General features: G+C 39.1%; 1 protein-coding gene and 1 pseudogene across 10 annotated transcripts in view, besides 1 other annotated feature; one reads left to right on the top strand and one right to left on the bottom strand.

Moving 5' to 3' along the window:
• The window catches only part of PLAGL1 (PLAG1 like zinc finger 1), a 124,300-nt gene that overhangs the window by 26,182 nt on the left and 78,877 nt on the right, over positions 1-19,241 (top strand). The window lies entirely within an intron of this gene.
• Positions 653-1,917, bottom strand: LOC100131041 (FKBP prolyl isomerase 7 pseudogene; annotated as a pseudogene).
• Positions 1,808-1,857: an enhancer, noted in NCBI's record as "active region_25208". NCBI's record gives its function as "activates an Ori minimal core promoter by ATAC-STARR-seq in GM12878 lymphoblastoid cells {active_cell/tissue: GM12878}" and the evidence as "EXISTENCE:reporter gene assay evidence [ECO:0000049][PMID:35858748]".

Here is a 19,241-nt window from a genome sequence, read left to right as displayed (position 1 = left end):
GGGAGGATGGCCCCTTAACTTTGTTCTACTCTTTCAAGATTTTTTGGTAATTCTGGTTCCCTTGAATTTTCATATGAATTTTAGGAACAGCTTGTCAGTTTCTACAATGAAATTAACCAAAATCTTGATAGGGCAACCTTATGTAGTGAAGAAGCCTCACAAGTTCAAACAAACAAACAATAAGTAGATAAGTTTCAGTCGTATTACCGTCTTAACACATGTAGCTTTATTTTTTGTGCTTTGGAGTTTATTAAGATTCATAGATCTGCAGGCTTATCGCTTTCATCAGATGTGTAGCATTTTCAGCCATTATTTTGTCAAATGCTATTACTATCCTCCATCTGAGACTCCAACTACTATCTGTTAGACAACTTGATATTGTTCCCACAGATCTCAGAGACTTTGCTCATTTTTTTCAATTATTTTTCTCTTTGCATAGGTGGGAGTTAGTTCATTTTAGTATTACCATTTATTGGCGACAAGCGCTAACTTTTCTTACATTCTAAGGGGGGAAATTGTAGCCTGAACAATGAATCAAAGCAGTACTAAGTCTCAAGAGTACGTGCTTTTCATTGCAGAACCTTACTGTGTACATTTCTATGTACAATAGCACAACATCAAAAGCAGTAGTTTGGGTTTGGGTTTTTTTGTGAAAGTGACTATTTTGTAAACAAAGACAGTAAATATCTAAGAAAATATAGAAATAAAAAACATAGTTCATAATGTTGATATGCATTGTATTCCTTAAAAGAAATGAAACTGTCACCATCATGATCATTTTTCTTTAAAATATCTTCTAAAACTGCTTTGTTTTTGTTTTTTTTAGAAATGGAGTCTTGCTCTGTCACCCAGGCTCGAGTGCAGTGGCACAATCATATGATAGCTCACTGCAGTCTCGAACTTCTGGGCAAAAGCAATCCTCCCATCTCAGCCTCCTAAGTAGCTGGGACTACAGGTGCACACTGTCACACCCAGCTATTTTTTTTTTTTTTTTTTTTTTTTGGTAGAGATGGGGCTTCACCGTGTTGTCCAGGCTGGTCTGGAATTCCTGGGGTCAAGTTATTGTCCCACGTTGGCCTCCCAAAATATTGGGATTACAGATGTGAGCCACTGTGCCTGGCCTAAAACTGCATTCTGATATGACTTGTCACATGGCTTCTCATCTTTTTAAAACTTCTCTTTTAGGTAGTGATTAGCTCTGTTTTAGAGAGTTGTCTGTCATGGTGTCTTTCTGTTTAAATGGTTCAGTGGTCCTCTGGTCACAGCATAAAATTCAGTCTCAAAAATCAGTGTTGTATCAGGTGGACTCTTGCCTTTACATGTATACTTAATTAAAGCACTAAAATATCACATGCTTTTAGAGACACGCAGGCGTGCTCTGTGACAAGAGGCAAGCAGACTGTGCGAAGGAAAGATTTAAGATACTACCTTTAGTTTTCCTTTCCATGTGCAAATGAAGGTGGTGTAATCACTTTCTGCCTCTCTCCAGGGCATATAATTCATCACAGCAATGTCTGGTCCTTTTATGATTTGTCCAACACCAAGAACAAACCATTAGGGGATGGCCTTCATTTTATGCCAGAGTATTTCAAACCTGTTTAGTCAAATAGTGTCATAATGGGCATTTAGCAGGTCTGCCTTCTTGCTTGTCTTAGAGCAGTTTTCTGGAAGTTGCACAATTTCTGTTCTGTAGTTTCACTTTTTCCATTCTTTCCTCTTTCTTTCGTCCCTGAGTAGTGAAGAAGCCTCACAAGTTAAAACAAACAAAACAAAAAGCTATTCTGAATAAGAAACACATGTTCCTAGAGTTGGCCCCTAGATGTCTACCACGCTCTTTCCAGCATGTCACTTGCACCCGGTAGCAGCCCCAGGACTGGAGTCCTGTCACGCGGCAGTAATTGTCCTGTCACAAAGTGCTGAGGGTGTGGAGTTGTGTAGCGGGTCCCCTTGTCTGGGCAGGCTCGGCTGTGGAATTTTTGCCCATTTGGTGTGGAGCATGTGCCCCTTTGGTACTGGGCATGTGGGCTGGCTGTCTTCAGTCACTAAGACTGAAGCATTGCACACTTGCACCACTTCTCTGCACAAAGTCTGTGTATTTCACAGCTGATTTCCTCAGGATTGTGTTATAAGGCTTGTGTTTCCTAAAATGAAACTGGCAAAGATGAAATAGCCTAAATGGACTGTTCTTAGAGTCAGAGGAAGTGGTTGTCATTTCTGGGCATAAAAGACTTCTCCTCAGGCCCCTAAGCATTAGTGAGCATTGGAAGGAGTCATTCTGGAGGCAGAGCATAAAAGTCGGCTTGTAGCTGCCCTCTGGGTCCACCTGGGGTGTCCTTGAAGCACTTTCTTGGGGTTGGAGTCCTGCATTGAGGGTTTCCAGGCTAAGCCACACGTAATCAGATGGCCATCCAGGCACAATAAAACCCAGAAATGCCCCTGCTCCTCCACCTCCTTAAAGAAGTTTCTCACCAGCCCACTCCAGTGATCCCTGAACTGCGTTTCTTTGCCCCACCAGGTGGCTACCCTTGATTTGAGGGCCTCTAGTAGTGCCAGAAATGTTCTTGACATTGTCATTTTTCTCATCAACCATATGAGATCAGTAATGATCTACATTACACATATTAAAAAAATGAGGTATCATATCTAGAGGCAAAAAGAAGAAAAAACAAGAAAATGAGGTAATTTGAGTATTGGGCATTTTGTTCTAGTCTCACCACTCATAGCAACAGGGATTTGACACAAAGCCTCTTGCCCCCTGTGATGGTTAATATTGAATGTCAACTTGATTAGATTGAAGGATGCAAAGCATTGTTCCTGGGCATCTCTGTCAGAGTGTTGCCAAAGACGATTAACATTTGAGTCAGTGGACTGGGTGAGGAGACCCACCCTCAGTCTGGTTGGGCACCATCTAATCAGCTGCCAGCACGGCTAGAATAAAGCAGGCAGGAGAAGATGGGAGGGCAGATTTGCTGAGTCTTCCGGCCTTCATCTTTCTCCCGTGCTAGATGCTTGCTGCCCTTGAACATTAGACTCCAAGTACTTCAGCTTTTGGACTCTTGGACTTACACCAGTGGTTTTCCATGGGCTCTCGGGCCTTTGGCCATAGACTGAAGGCTGCACTGTGAGCTTCCCTATCTTTGAGTTTTTGGTGCTTGGATTGATCTACCACTGGCTTCCTTGCTCCTCAGCTTGCAGGAGGCCTATTGTATGACTTCACCTTGTGATTGTGTGAGTCAATTCTCCTTAATAAACTCCCTCTCATATATACATCTATCCTATTAGTTATGTGTCTCTAGATAACCCTAATATACCCCCAACCCCCTGAAACATTTTAGTATGAAAAACTTTGAAATGTACAGGAAAGTTGAATTTTACAGTGAATGCCCTTATACCCACCACTAGATTCTATCATTAACATTTAACTGTTCTCAATGTATTACATACCCATCCATCAATTTACCTTATTTCCAAGTTAATACTCAAAGATTTTTGTCCAAACCTGAAAGCCTTCAGCTGTAGTCCTAGATCAGGCTCTGGGAGGAGTATTAGTCTACTCAGTGATGTTAAACAAAGCTGATGCTTTGTTCCTGGTTCATCTACTTTGCTTAAAGCTTGCAAAACTCCACAAATCTGAAAATTACTGTCAGCTATGTAAGATGACAGTCCCCTCCAAGGAAGATTTTTTTTTTCAATCTTAAAAGCTAGGGGGAAAACCTGATTTTTAGAATAAAATAAACTCCAAAGTTAAGTTCCATGTTTGATATTGTAGATGAAATTTTGGCTGTCCAAGGTTCATTATTGCATAATGACAATTTGTCGGGGCCTCCCACTTTTCTTTGCTGGAGGACTGAATTAGCTGCACACTTCCTTTCTGGCAGATGATTTATTGAACCCCCTGAATGAGAGGAGGATACAAAGGAAACAAATAAGTGTTTTATTTTCTTGAAGAGAAACAAACACTAAAAGGACTTGAGGCTTACTTAGTTAACAGGAAAACTGGAGAGGCTTAAGTCACTGCCCTTGGGATGAGTGTGCAGTGAGCCCCGTCTTCCAGTCAGCCTGGGGGCTGTGTGCCCAGCAGCCTGAGTCAGCAATCTGGGGCCTAGAGGCTTCAGTCCAGAGGGTGTGGTGTGGTTGGGGGGTTGTCAGCCTGGGCCTTGGCAGCTAGAGAAAGATGGAAGAGCCCTGGAATGAGGCACCCCAGGAGGGAGGCTGGGGTTCGCTAAGCTGGGGCACCCCCTCCTCCAACAACGTGGTTTTACATGTAAACACAGGTCATTCTTTTCAGCCCTGCATGGAGATGTAATTAACAGTATAAAAGACTCCAGGAAAATTGAAGTCTGCAGTTTTATATGTACTACATGGAGACCATGTCTGTAGTGTAGTAAAAGCATCCATGTGTTTTTGATTTTGCATAGTGTATCTTTCATCTCTAGCAATTCTATTTGGGTTCTTCTACATTCTTGAGTGTTTGGAGCACATTTATAATAGCTGCTTTTATGTTCAAGTCTCATTACCTCAGACTTAGAAAAGACCATTTCTTTTGACAGATTTTTTTCTCTAGTTATGGGTCATATCTTCCTGCTTTTTTGCATGCCTGATAATTTTTTGATGTGAAGGTAGACCTTGTGATTTTACATTGTTTTATGCTGGATTTTGTTTTATTCCTTTAAATAGTGTTGGACTTTGTTCTGGCATGTAGTTAAGTTACCTGATCAGTTCTAAACTTGGACATCTCTTTAGCTAAATATCCCAGTCCACTGTTTACACTTCTGGCTTTCCACATAACTACAGGACACATTTCACTAAGCTTTCTACTAGTATATAACAAAGATCATCCTTACTGCAGTTTCTAGTAATGTGTTCCTCATTTCCTTCTGAACTCTCACTGGTACCACCTTTCCTGTCTGTATTTCAGTTTGCTGAAGACAATCTAGGTTTTTCCATCATGTTTCTCAGAATTCTTCCAGCTTCTACCCACTCCCCAATTCCAAGGCTTTCCACATTTTTAGATATTTGTTACAACAGCACACCACTTCCAGGCAGCAAAGTTCATATTAGTTTTCTATTGCTGCCCTGACAAATTACTACAAACTTAGTGGCTTAAACCTGGTATTTATTATGCCCTAGGTCTGTAGGTAAAAAGTCCAAGCTGACCCTGCAGTAGCTCTGACATCGTCTCTCACCATTCTTTGTATATTCCAGGCTTTAGCAATTACAGGCAGTAGTCCTCATGTCACTCACATATCTGCGCACTTCTTGTGGTATGACCTTTACCTAGCATGCTCTTCCCATTTTGTTTATTTGCTGATGTCCTGTTTTCTAAAATTCATCTAATGAATAATTTCTTCTAGAAACTTGGGCTCTACTACTGAGTTCAGCTAAGTGACCTAAATCTGTGTGTCCATAATAGCATGTGGTCCTTCATCATCACTTATCATGCCATATAGAATTATCTATCACATGTCTATTGCCCCGATATAGTGTCCCTCTTAATCTCTTACCTCTCAGGGTTTACTTAGTAATTGCCTGGAACATAGTAGCAACCAAAGAATGCTTAGAATTGAACTAGGTAGGCTGGGCATGGTGGTTCATGCCTGTAATCCCAGCACACTGGATCACTTGAGGTCAGGAGTTTGACCAGCCTGGCCAACATGGTGAAACCCTGTCTCTACTAAAAATACAAAAATTAGCCAGGCGTGTTGGCATACGCCTGTAATCCCAGCTACTTGGAAGGCTGAAGCAGGAGAATTGCTAGAGCCCAGGAGGCGGACGTTGCAGTGAGCCGAGACTGTGCCATTTGACTCCAGCCTGAGTGACAAACCAAGACTCCGTCTCAAAAAACAAACAAACAAAACCCCAAAAACACAACCAAAACTGAACTAGGAGGTAGAAGAAATTATGACACTATTTTACCACTTAGAACTTAAAATTTCTGCCAAGAAGCTAAAAATTAGAAGGCAGATAAAAACTGGCTTAAAAATTGCAATAAGTAGCTGGGCATGGTGGTTCACACCTGAAATCCCAGCACTTTGTGGGGCTGAGGTGGGAGGATCACTTGAGCCCAGGACTTTGAGACCAGCCTGGGCAACATAGTGAAACCTCATCTCCACCAAAAAAAAAAAAAAAAAAAGCCAGGTGTGGTGGCACATGCCTGGAGTCTCAGCTACTCAGGAGGCTGGGGCAGGAGGATCGCTTGAGCCCAGGAAGTTGAGGCTGCAGTGAGCTGTGATTGTGTCACTGCACTCCAGCCTGGGCAACAGAGAGATAGATACTCTGTCTCAAAAAAAAAAAAATGCAATAAGTTATAGGGAGAAACTTGATATACCATATATTTTATAAAAACCATTGTGCCCAAATAGGTAAAGGGGAAAAGGTCATCATGACTATGAAAGAAATCATAGATGACACAAAGAAATGGAAACACATCCCATGCTCATGCATAGGTAGAATTAATATTGTGAAATTGATCATACTACCAAAAGCAGTCTACAAATTCAATATAATTCCTGTCAAAATACCACCATCATTCTTCACAGAACTAGAAAAAACAATCCTAAAATTCATATGGAACCAAAAAAGAGCCTGCATAGCCAAAGCGAGACTAAGCAAAAAGAACAAATCTGGAGACATCACATTACCCAACGTCAAACTGTACTCTAAGGCCATAGTCACCAAAACAGCATGGTACTGGTATAAAAATAGGTACATAGACCAATGGAAAAGACTAGAGAACCCAGAAATAAAGCCAAATACTTACAGTCAACTGATCATTGACAAAGCAAACAAAAACATAAAGTGGGGAAAGGACACCCTATTCAACAAATGGTGCTGGGATAATTTGCAAGCCACATGTATGAGAATGAAATTGGATCCTCATCTCTCTTCTTATACAAAGATCAACTCAAGATGGATCAAAGACTTAAATCTAAGACCTGAAACTGTAAAAGTTCTAGAAGATAACATCAGAAAAATCCTTCTAGACCTTGGCTTAGACAAAGACTTCATGACCAAGAATCCAAGAGCAAAAGCAACAAAAACAAATATAAATAGATGGGACTTAATTAAACTAAAAAGCTTCCACATAGCAAAAGAAACAATTAGCAGAGTTGACAGACAACCCACAGAGTGGGAGAAAATTTTCACAACCTATATATCTGACAAAGAAAAATATCCAGAATCTACAAAGAACTCAAACAAATCAGCAAGAATAAAACAAACAATTCCATCAAAAAGCGGGCTAAGGATATCCATAGACAATTCTCAAAAGAAGATATACAAATGGCCAACAAGCATATGGAAAAATGCTCAACATCACTATCAGGGAAATGCAAATCAAAACCACAATGCGATATCACCTCATTTCTGCAAGAATGGCCATAATAAAAAAAAATACAGATGTTGGTGTGGATGCGGTGGAAAGGGAACACATATATTGTTGGCGGGAATGTAAACTAGTGCAACCACTTTGGAAAACACTGTGGAGATTCCTTAAAGAACTAAAAGTAGATCTACCATTTGAACTAAAAGTAGATCTACCATTTGATCCGCAATTCCACTACTGGGTATCTACCCAGAGGAAAAGAAGTCATTATACGATAAAGATACTTGCACACTCATGTTTATAGCAGCACAATTGCAAAAATATGGAACCAGCCCAAATGCCCATCAGTCAACAAGTGGATAAAGCAAATGTGGTGTATGTATACCATGGACTGCTACTCAGCCATAAAAAGGAATGAAGTAATGGCATTCACAGCAACCTGGATGGAATTGGAGACTATGATTCTAAGTGAAGTAACTCAGGAATGGAAAACCAAACATCGTATGTTCTCACTTATATGTGGAAGCTAAGCTATGAGGACAGAAAGGCTTAAGAATGATACATTGGACTTTGGGGACTTGGGGGAAAAGGTTGGGAGGTGGTGAGGGATAAAAGACTACACATTGGGTAAAGTGTACACTGCTCAGGTGATGGGTGCACCAAAATCTCAGAAATCACCACTAAAGAATTTATTCATGCAACCAAACACCACCTGCTCCCCAAAAACCTATTGAAATAAAAAAATTTTAAAAAGCTGTACCTTATTCCATTATATGAACTTATATCCATTGTATTAAAATTTACATCTTCTTTTTTTTTTTTTTTTTTTTTTTTTTTTTGAGACGGAGTCTCGCTCTGTCACCCAGGCTGGAGTGCAGTGGCGCAATCTCGGCTCACTGCAAGCTCCGCCTCCCAGGTTCACGCCATTCTCCTGCCTCAGCTTCCCAAATAGCTGGGACTACAGGCGCCTGCCACCACGCCCGGCTAATTTTTTTGTATTTTTTAGTGGAGACAGGGTTTCACCGTGTTAACCAGGATGGTCTCGATCTCCTGACCTCATGATCCTCCCGCCTCGGCCTCCCAAAGTGCTGGGATTACAGGCGTGAGCCACCGCGCCCAGTCAAAATTTATGTCTTCTATTATTGAACTTTTGCTATTAGAAATATAGCTTTATTGCCTAACCTTGTTCTTCCATCATATTGAACATGTTAGTTTATCTACAGGACATATTCTTAAAAGTGGAAATGTGAGATCAAACAGTGCACGTGTTTATACTTTTTATAGATTTTACCTTCCATAAGGTTGTACCAGTTTCTACTCCCATCAGCAATATGTGAGCAATATGTGAGGCAACTTCCATAAGGTTGCCTTCCATAAGGCTGTACCAGTTTCTACTCCGATCAGCAATATGTGAGAGATGAGAGTGCCTTTCTCCAAATGCTTGACAGCATAGTATGTGTTAAGATTTTTGAATCATTGCCAATCTGATAAGTGGAAAATCTCAGCATAGTTTTAATTTGCATTTCTCTTATGATGAGGAGTATCTTTTAATAGACTTAAGAGCTAGCTCTCTATTCTTCACGAAATGAGCTGTGTCTTTTCCTATTCTTTGTTCATTATTCTATTGAGTTAATCTTTTCCTTACTTATCTGTAGAAGCTTTCTCTATATTAAGGAAATTAGCCCTTTATTGTGAATCACAGTTACCCCTGCTCCCACCCCATCAGGTTGTTGTTGTCTTTTGACTTTGTTTATGGTATGTCTTATCATACAGAGAATCTGATTTTGTTACATGGTTGAATTTATTAATTTTTTTGTGGCTGTTGGGGTTTGTGCAAACTTGGAAATGCCTTCCTTACCACAGGAGATGATTTAAAATATGTTGAAAGATTTATATGTAAAGATGTTCATTCCATTCTTTATAAATTAAAAAAGATAATATAGAAGTTCAACAACTGAAGAATGGTGCTTTACTTGTGATATAGCTACATAATAGATTATTATGCAACTCGTATAAATAATATCTACAGGAAGTTCCTCAAAACATATAGTAATAAAATGTTTACAAATGAAGGTCATGGGATTATGTTTGTTCAAGTTGAGACCAGAATCAATACTGTAATTATTCCAGATCATCTCAATTACATAAAAAATGAGAAAAAATGGAAGGCAGATTAATTACTGTAATTTGGAAGTGATATTATTTTATTTAAAATGTTTCTATGGTCTCTGAAAACTTCTAAAACAAGCATGTATTTTTATAATAAGAAAAAAATACAGCATCATGGATGATATTGTAGTCCCAGCACGTAGATAACAAGCATTTGCTTTGGATCCACTTGCTTTGAGTATTTGACATTCTCTACACCCTCAGCAGCCAAAAGTAGAGCAAAGAAAACTGATCATTGTTTTGTCCTGAATAGAGCTAGTTTATCCAGATTTTCTTCTTTTATAGACGGATATCAGGATTGCAGGGAATGTACTCTTTTATGTATTTCACTGGGAGAAGGTGCAGCTCACTTTACAGCCATACCCTAAAATTAGCACTTAACAGTAAATCTTTATTTCTCCTTTTAAAATTATTAGTGATTTGACTTTCTTTTAAAATTAGGCCCCTTTCCCTGCTCCCCTCCCACCACATCTTCATCACACTTGACAGAGTCTTTTTTCCTCATCAGCTTTACTGAGTTACAGTTTACACACAGTAAAATGCAACCAGTCTCAATGCACAGCTTGAATTTTGACAAATGTGTTTACCCTTGGAGCTGTGACTACAATTAAGATAGAACATTTTCATAGGAGACTACAGAGAACTGACTTAAAATATATAATTTAAAAGATATAATGTGTTTTATACTAATATACTTTGGAACACTTACAAGAGTAATAGTTAATTTTAGACAGAGTATTCTAAAGGAATAAATGTTTGAAAAGTTAATGGCTTATATAATAACTGCATACAGTTAAATAATTAACCTCACAAAGGAAGCCTGCTTTGGTTATAGCATAAAATTATAGTAAGAGTGATAAAGAACCATATGAGCCATTATTTAAATTGTTTGAGGTGCTGAGACTTCAAAGGGACAATCCTGTGCATTTTTGGAGTTTTGAATTCTTTATATTTCCTTGTTCTCTCTCTTTTCAAAAACAAATGCTGCCAGGCATCTGTTTATTCTCATATCAAAATGAAAGACACTCTGAGAAAATTGGGGAGCATCAGCAAAATCCTTTCTTTAGGACCTTATATGTGAGTCTGTGCACATATTTGCAAGACTGGAGAAATGGAGATTATTAGAATGGATATATAATAGTAAGTTTAGCAAATATGATTAACATTTCCCTGACAGAGCGAAGTGTTTCCCACTAAAGAGACTTTTAAATATATAACCTCATTTCAAAACAAGAACACTTAAAGGAGCTTTCATCTGTTGGAGCAAGAGGTTATATTTGTGTAAATCAAAGCACTGTACAGTCTTAGAATTTGACTGTGGTGCTTTTATAGGTTCTTTTCCATGGGTGCAGTTGGTGCTGGAGGATGGTGGGAGGTGGAGGTTAGTGTTGTTATATTGGCTGTTTTTGTTCTACTCCCTCACTCTTGAGTGGTATCTGCATTCTCCTATTTCTCCTATTAACTGCTTCTCTATTTCTTCCTACTAGTTTGTCCTGTTTTCTCTTCTTCCCTAGCTGTTTCTCATGGGATTGTAGAAGAAACAAAAAGATCCTCACCTGCAGTTTTGCTTCTTATTCTGAATACTTACAGATTTCACTTCTTAAAGACATTGTACTTCAGATCAAATAACTTTCTTTCTTTCTTTCTTTCTTTCTTTCTTTCTTTCTTTCTTTCTTTCTTTCTTTCTTTCGTTCGTTCTTTGAGTTGGGGTCTTTCTCTGTCACCCAAGCTGGAGTGCAGTGGCATGATCATGGCTCTCCACAGCCTCAAACTCGTGGGCTCAGGTGATCCTCCCACCTCAGCCTCCTGAGTAGCTGGGATCACAGATGCATGCCACCGCGGCTGACTAATTTTTTTAATTTTGTTTTTGTAGAGTCGGGGGGTGGGGTCTTACTTTTTTACCCACACTGGTCTTGAACTCCTGGACTCAAGTGATCCTCCTGCCTCGGCCTTCCAAAGTGCTGTGATTACAGGTGTAAGCCACTGCACCTGGCCAAAATAATGCTAATACTAGGTTTTATTGATGAGCTTAATTTGCACTGAGAAGTCTAAGCAAACTGATCCAACCTGAAATTGAAAAGCTACCATTTTTTGTCTTTAGAAAGAAATGTTCCTATCTGCTTTGCCAGTAGTTACAGTGGTTTGCAGGGCATCCAAAGGATTAAGCACTAACAGATCTTGAGCAGTACTGTGTTCTTGTGAATGTAATCTAGAGATTGAAAATACATATTTATTCTAACTTGAAACAATAAGCAAAGAAATTTGGACAAGTCGGGCTTGGGTATAGATGAATTATTGGAAAACATGGGTTTCTATAAGAATATACCATCAGAAATTTTTTAGGCTATTTGTACAGAAGATTTATGTGGCAGTTGAACCACAGGTCTCTAAATTTCATAGCCAGGGATGACTATCTTAACTAGACAGCTGCTATAAATTCTTTCTGGAGATATGGTGGAATAAATTATAAATGAATAAGTGTAAATATGCCATGATACTTCTTAGGCTAAGATTTTGTGAGTTGGTTAATGCAGTACTATTTTTTAGTATAAACCATAGAAAACAGTTCTATTTTGCTATTGTTAAAGCAAAATCTTTTCTCTAAGATTTACTCACCTTTTTTCCTCTGCTAAACCGAAGCTCCTTGAGGCCAGGGACATAATTTATTATGGTAGATTTCAAACTCTTTTGGCTTTAAATCTGTATTAAGAATTGCATTTTATATCATAATCCAGGACACACACACATACACGAAACAACCTAATCTTTTATTATATAAGTTGGATTCTAATACTTTTTATTCTTTCATTTCAGTAGGAATAAATGCTTATTGAATATATGAATGAATGGGTTGGGAAAGTAATAAGGAGCTGGGATAAACTGGAGAAATTCTTTAGAGGTAGATTTTGTCCATTATTAGTTGTTACTTAGTATTCGTGTTATATATGTGGCAGTATTCCCAGACTGACTGAATCCAAATCTCTTCAGGTAGAACTTGGGCAAGTAGGTGTTATTTATTCATTTATTTATTTGAGATGGAGTCTTGCTCTGTCACCCAGGCTGGAGTGCAATGGTATGATCTCGGCTCACTGCAACCTCCACCTCCCGGGTTCAAGCGATTCTCCTGCCTCAGCCTCCTGAGTAGCTGGGATTACAGGTGCGTGCCACCACACCCAGCTAATTTTTTTTGTATTTTTAGTAGAGACAAGGTTTCACCATATTGGCCAGGCTGGTCTCTAACTCCTGACTTCAAGTTATCTACCCGCCTCAGCCTCCCAAAGTGCTAGGATTACAGGTGTGAGCCACTGTGCCCGTCCAGTAGGTGTTTTTTAAAAATATAGTTTTTACTTTAGAATAGTTTCAGATTTACAAAAAAGTTGCAAAGGCAGTACAGAGAGTTTCTAGATACCTAGCACCCAGTTTCCCCGAGCATTAACATCTTACATTTCTATGGTACATTTGTCACAATTAATGAACCAATAGTGATACATATTATTATTAAGTAAACCTCATACTTTGGATGGATTCCAGTCATTTTCCCCTAAGTCCTTTTTCTATTCCAGGATTCCTCATTACATTTAGTCACAAAGTCTCCTTAGGGACTTCTTGGCTGTGACAGTCTCTCACATTTTCCTTTTTTCTTTTGATGACCCTTATAGTTTTCAAGAGTGGTGATCAAATATTTTGTAGAAAGTCCCTCAATTTGGGTGTGTTTAATGTTTTTTCTTATGGTTAGACTGGGGTTTGAGGGAAGACTACAAAAGTAAAGGAAAAGGGTACAGCTGTGACTATGACTTGTCGCTGTTGACGTTGACCTTGATCACCTGGCTGAGGTGATGTTTGTCTGGTTTCTCCATGGCAAAGTCACCCCTCCCCCCTCTATAATGTACACTTTGGAAGGAGGGCTGTACATGCAGCCTATGCTTAAGGAATGGGGAGTTATGCCTCATCTCCTGGAGAGTGGAGTGTCTACATAAATTTGAAATTCCCCTGCACAGGATTTGTCTCTTCCTCCTCATTTATTTACTTATTCATTCAATTATTTGTATCAGTATGGGATCATACTGATATACATGGATATTTATTTTATACTTTGGGCTATAATTCAATACTACATGAATTATTTGGTTGCTCAGATGGTTTCAGTTTTGGTCACTAGGAACTCTTTCAGGTTGGCTCGTGTCCCTTTGACATACCACCATTATTGTTTTTATTTTTGAGCACTTCCTTACTTTCTGGTATTCAGGATGCTCAAGTGTATTAGTCTGTTCTCATGCTGCTAATAAAGACATACCTAAGACTACTTAATTTATAAAGGAAAGAGATTTAATTGACTCACAGTTCCACATGGCTAAGGAGGCCTCACAATAATGGCAGAAGTGCATGGAACGTCTTACATGGCGGCAGGCAAGAGAGCTTGTACAGAGAACTCCCATTTATAAAACCATCAGATCTCATGAGACTTATTCACTACCACAAGAACAGTATGGGGGAAACTGCCCCCATGACTCAATGATCTCCACCTGTCCCTGCTCTTGACACATGGGGATTATTACAATTCAAGGTGAGATTTTGGTGGGGACACAGCCAAACCATATCATCAAGGTACATCTTGTATATTCCCTGCCCACCCCTCACATGAATGCTTTCTCCAAGGGGCATGGTTCCTTTTATTGGAGAATAATATTAGACATGAAAATCTGACCAGGTGTGTTCACCATCAGCAGAGTGTCACTGCATGTAGGCCTTCTCAGTAGACAGAGCTAGGAAATATATAGGTGGATGCTAACCTGTGCATACACACATAGCTACAATTATTTATATATCCACATGTATCTTTCTAAAGCTGGTCAGGTGCAGTGGCTGAGGCCTGTAATCTCAGCACTTTGGGAGGGTGAGGCGGGCCAATTGCTTGAGGCCAGGGGTTCAAGACCAGTCTGGTCAACATGGTGAAACCCCGTGTCTACTAAAAATACAAAAATTAGCCAGGCATGGTTGTGCGTGCCTGTAATCCCAGCTACTCTGGAGGCTGAGGCACAACAATCACTTGAGCCTGGGAGGCGGAGGTTGCAGTAAGCCAAGATTGCACCACTGCACTCCAGTCTGGGCAACAGAACAAGACTCTGTCTCAAAAAAAAAAAAAAAAAAAAAAAAAAGCTAAATATGAGTTCATAATGATGTCCAACTCTAATCCAGTCCTATGTGGCTTATTCTAGCTTTCCCCTCTTGCTTATCTGTAATTTCCCTAACAGAGAAACCTAGCTCCCACCACCTACCATCTAATTACTTACTTGGCCATTCCCATTGTGCATGGACTGTGGTTTTGGAATTGTTAATTTGTACCCCCACGGGAAACAACTTTATCAATTAGAGTGTGGTGCTTATTTTTCGTGCAGTTCCTTTTTGTCTTTATGCATTTCCAAAGTTACTTAGATCAGCACCTTTTTTTCCCCAGCCCCCCTTCAATGAGTTTATGCCGTACATTAGTATTACAGTGAGATTCTTTTGTCGCTGTCTGCATTCCATCCTGGGATTTGCATATGGTAAGGTTTACCCTTTGTGCTATAAAATTCTGTAGGTTTTGTCAAATGCATATTGTTATGTATCCACCACTATGTTATCATACACAATAGCTTCACTATCCTAAAAAAAAATCCCCAAATCCTCTGTGTTCACCCAGTCAATCTACTTCCTTCCACAAACTCCTGGTGAGTTTGATTTGTTTTTCATGTTTATAGTGTTCTCTTTTTCAAAATATTATGTGAATGGAATCATACAGTATGTAGTCTTTTCAAACTTGCTCCTTTTTCTTAGCAGTATGCATTAAGTTTCTTCCATGGTGTTGCATGAATTAATAGCTCATTCCTTTAGATTGCTGAATAATATTCCACATTATGGATATATCATAGTTTGTCCATTCATCTATTGAGGGACATTGTGGTTGCTCCCAGTTTTTGGCAATTATGAGTAAAGCTGCTATAAATATTCATGTGCAGGTTTTTGTATGGATATGTTTTCAAATCAATTGGGTAAATACCAAGGAGTGTGATTGCTGGGTAGTATGGGAAGTCTGTGTGTATTAGTCTGTTCTCATGCTGCAATAAAGACATACCTGAGACTGCATAATTTATAAAGGAAAGAGGTTTAATTGACTCACAGTTCCACATGGCTGGGGAGGCCTCACAATCATGGTGGAAGAGCAAGAGACATCTTACATGGTGGCAGGCAAGAGAGCTTGTGCAAGGGAACTCCCTTTCATAAAACCATCAGATCTGGTGAAACTTATTCACTATTGTGAGAACAGCATGGGAAAGACCTGTCCCCATGATTCAATTACCAGCACCAGATCCCTCCCACAACACATGGGAATTATGGGAGCTACAATTCAAGATGAGATTTGGGTAGGGAAATAGCCAAACCATATCACTATGTTTAGCTTTGTAATAAATTGCCAAACTGTCTTCCAAAGTGGCTGTACCATTTTGCATTCCCATCACCAATGATGGATTGTTGCTCTGCATCCTTGTTAACATTTTGTATTGTCAACTTTTAAAAACAAATTTAGCCATTCTAGTAAGTATGTACTAGTATCTTGTTTTAATTTGGATTTTCCTAAAGACAAATGATGCTGAACATCTTTTCATATGCTTACATGCCATCTACATATCTCCTCTGGTGAGCTGTCTGTTCAGATCTTTGCCCATCTTTTAATTAGGTTGATTGTTTTTATTGGTTAGTTTTAAGTGTTCTTTGTATATTTAATATAAGTTATTTCTCAGATATGTGATTTGCAAATAATTCTACCAATCTGTGGTTTGTCTTTGGAATGTTGGTTTTTAAAAAATTCTTTTGGTGATTCTCAGCCTCTGGTTCAAAGCCCTGCAACTGCCTGAGGTAGGAGAGTTGGATCACCTCTTTTGAAGCTATCTTCTCCTCTCCTTTTTTATTTCTTTCTAGTCAGCCTTTCTGGGTTGCCTCATCTATAAAATAGGAATATTAAGTTACTTCCCAGAGAGCCAGTATCTTTCAGTTTTCAGTTCTATGATTCCATGACTACCTGACCATTTGAAACCTTTCTGGAATGCTACCAATGTATAGTTAGATCTCCTTACCTTTCTAATTGCTTTCACAAAGGAAAAGAACTGTATGGTCCATAATGACAGTCTTTAATTTCTTTGTGGAATTTCATTACTCCCACTGCCTAAAAGCTCAACTGTAATGATGGCCTTCCAGAATGAAATAAATCTGTCAGTGACTTTAAAATCACAATAGGAGAAAAATCAAATGGATATCAGAAATGACCTCCATGTTTACCATGTGTTACAAACTTTTGCACATTTGTAGGTAGGTGAGGAAACTATTTGGCATGTAGAATTTCTCTACATCCTTCCTCCATGTAGTTATTCCATCATTAAAAAGCAGGTCTCATTTCTATAAAAGTTGTTTTTCTCCGTGCAAAAATGTCCCCTAAAGGGCAGAACAGGAAAGCTGCCACATAATATTAGAAAGGTTCACAAAGTGTACAATACCTTAAAGATTATCTACAGATGGAATAATTTTGAAAAAGATGTTAATGTTAGCCCAATAACACAAAAATACAGTAATAATTGCTAAAATTTCCTGATGAAATAGAACTTGTAGAGACTCTTATCCTACTCTACAATGTTATCAAATAAATCCAGCATGTGAAGTCCTTTTTCAGCTTCAGCAAGTATAATATGTTATGAACTTGCTCAAACCGCATAGGTTTGACCTCTTACCCGTTTAGTTCTGTTTCTGTGCTCTACATTATGCCCAGTTGTCATGTCTCAATGATTTTGTGGGAGGAGCATAGTACAGGCTATGGAATCATAAAGAGAGTTTTAACTTTATTATTTACTGGCTGGAAGATTTTTGGCACATTCCCTAACCTCCCTAAACACTGTGTCCTCATGTGTACCATGTATGTCTTAACCAGCTCATATATACATATATTTGTTATATATATGTATTTTATATCTATAGTTTTATATTAAATATATTTATATTATAAATTATATAAATTATACTATATATTTTATATTATAGTAATTATATTTTATATATATTATATTATATATAATATAATATATAAATATATATAGTTATATGTTTGTTTTATATATATAGATATATAAAACAAATATATAGAGTGGGTGGTGGCCGGGTGCAGTGGCTCATACCTGTAATCCCAGCACCTCAGGAGGCTTAGGCAGGAGGATCACTTGAACTCAGGAGTTTGAATTCAGCCTGGGCAACATAGTAAGTCCTTGTCTCTAAAATAAATAAATGAATAAAATTAACATTAAAAACAAACAAAGGGCCGGGCGTGGTGGCTCATGCCTGTAATCCCAGCACTTTGGAAGGCCGAGGTGGGTGGATACAAGGTCAGGAGTTCGAGACCAGCCTGGCCAACATGGTGAAACTCCAACCCTACTAAAGATACAAAAAATTAACTGGGTGTGGTGACCCGCACCTGTAATCCCAGCTTCTCGGGAGGCTGAGGCAGGAGACTTGCTTGAACCTGAGAGGCGGAGGTTGCAGTGAGCCGAGATTGCACCATTGCACTCCAGCCTGGGTAACAGGGCGAGCGACTCCGTCTAAACAAACAAACAAACAAACAAACAAACAAGGAAGTGTCCATAGAGTAGGTGGCTAAAACAACATGAATTTATTTCCCACAGTCTGGGAGCTGGGAAGTGCAAGATTAGGGTGCTGTCAGATTCAGTGTGTGGTGAGGGCTCTCTTTCTAGTTCGTGGACAGCGGTCTTCTTGCTTCCTCACAGAGTGGAGAGAGGGAGAGAAGGAGGAAGTGAGCTCTCTGGTGTAAGGGTACTAATCCCATCATGAGGGCTCTATCTTCATGACCTAATTACCTCCCAAAGACCCCATCTTCAAATACAATCACATTGGGGATTATGATTTCAATATACTAATTTGCAGGGGGACACAAATATTCAGCTGGATTTCTGGTCAATATTAGGCATACCTTGGTTGGGAGCTATGCATTTCTACATTTGTGGGAGTTGTTCCAGCAGTTCCTACCAGCTTGAATAAAGGAACATCATAATCAGATGGCTGAATCTGAGCTGGAGGGTTTTCCTTTTTTTTTTTTTAAGTAACTTTTTTGTGGTTTTGAAATTTTTCAAAACAAAAAGCTGGAAGAACAGTACAATGTGCTCCCCTACCCCCCCACTTAGATTCAGTAATATAGAATGCCTACTTATTTTGCTGAACCGATTGAGGTTAAACTAGATTTATGATTGTTTAACTACATCAGCATTTGTCTCCTAGGAACAATGACATTCTCCTACATAACCACAGGACTATTATTACACTCAGGAAATTTAACATTAGTACAATATTATTATTCAATGTTGAGCCCATGTTCAAGTTTATCCAATTGTTCAATGTCTTTATAGCATTTTTTTTTCCTCAAGAGAGTCTCCCTCTCTCACCCAGGCTGGAGTGCAGTGGCGCCATATCGGCTCATTGCAACCTCCGCCTCCCAGGTTTGAGCAACTATCCTGCCTCAGCCTCCTGGGTAGCTGGGATTACAGGCGCCCACCACCATGCCTGGCCAATTTTTGTATTTTTAGTAGAGACGGTGTTTCACCATGTTGGCCAGGCTGATCTTGAACTCCTGACCTCGTGATCCACCCACTTGGCCTCCCAAAGTGCTGGGATTACAGGCATGAGCCACAGTGCCTGGCCTTTATAGCATTTTTTA

Source organism: Homo sapiens, chromosome 6 (assembly GCF_000001405.40).
Source record: "Homo sapiens chromosome 6, GRCh38.p14 Primary Assembly".
In the NCBI taxonomy this organism is placed as follows: domain Eukaryota; kingdom Metazoa; phylum Chordata; class Mammalia; order Primates; family Hominidae; genus Homo; species Homo sapiens.
Note: the sequence above shows the minus strand (reverse complement) of the source record. Positions and strands in the feature narration are given on the sequence as shown.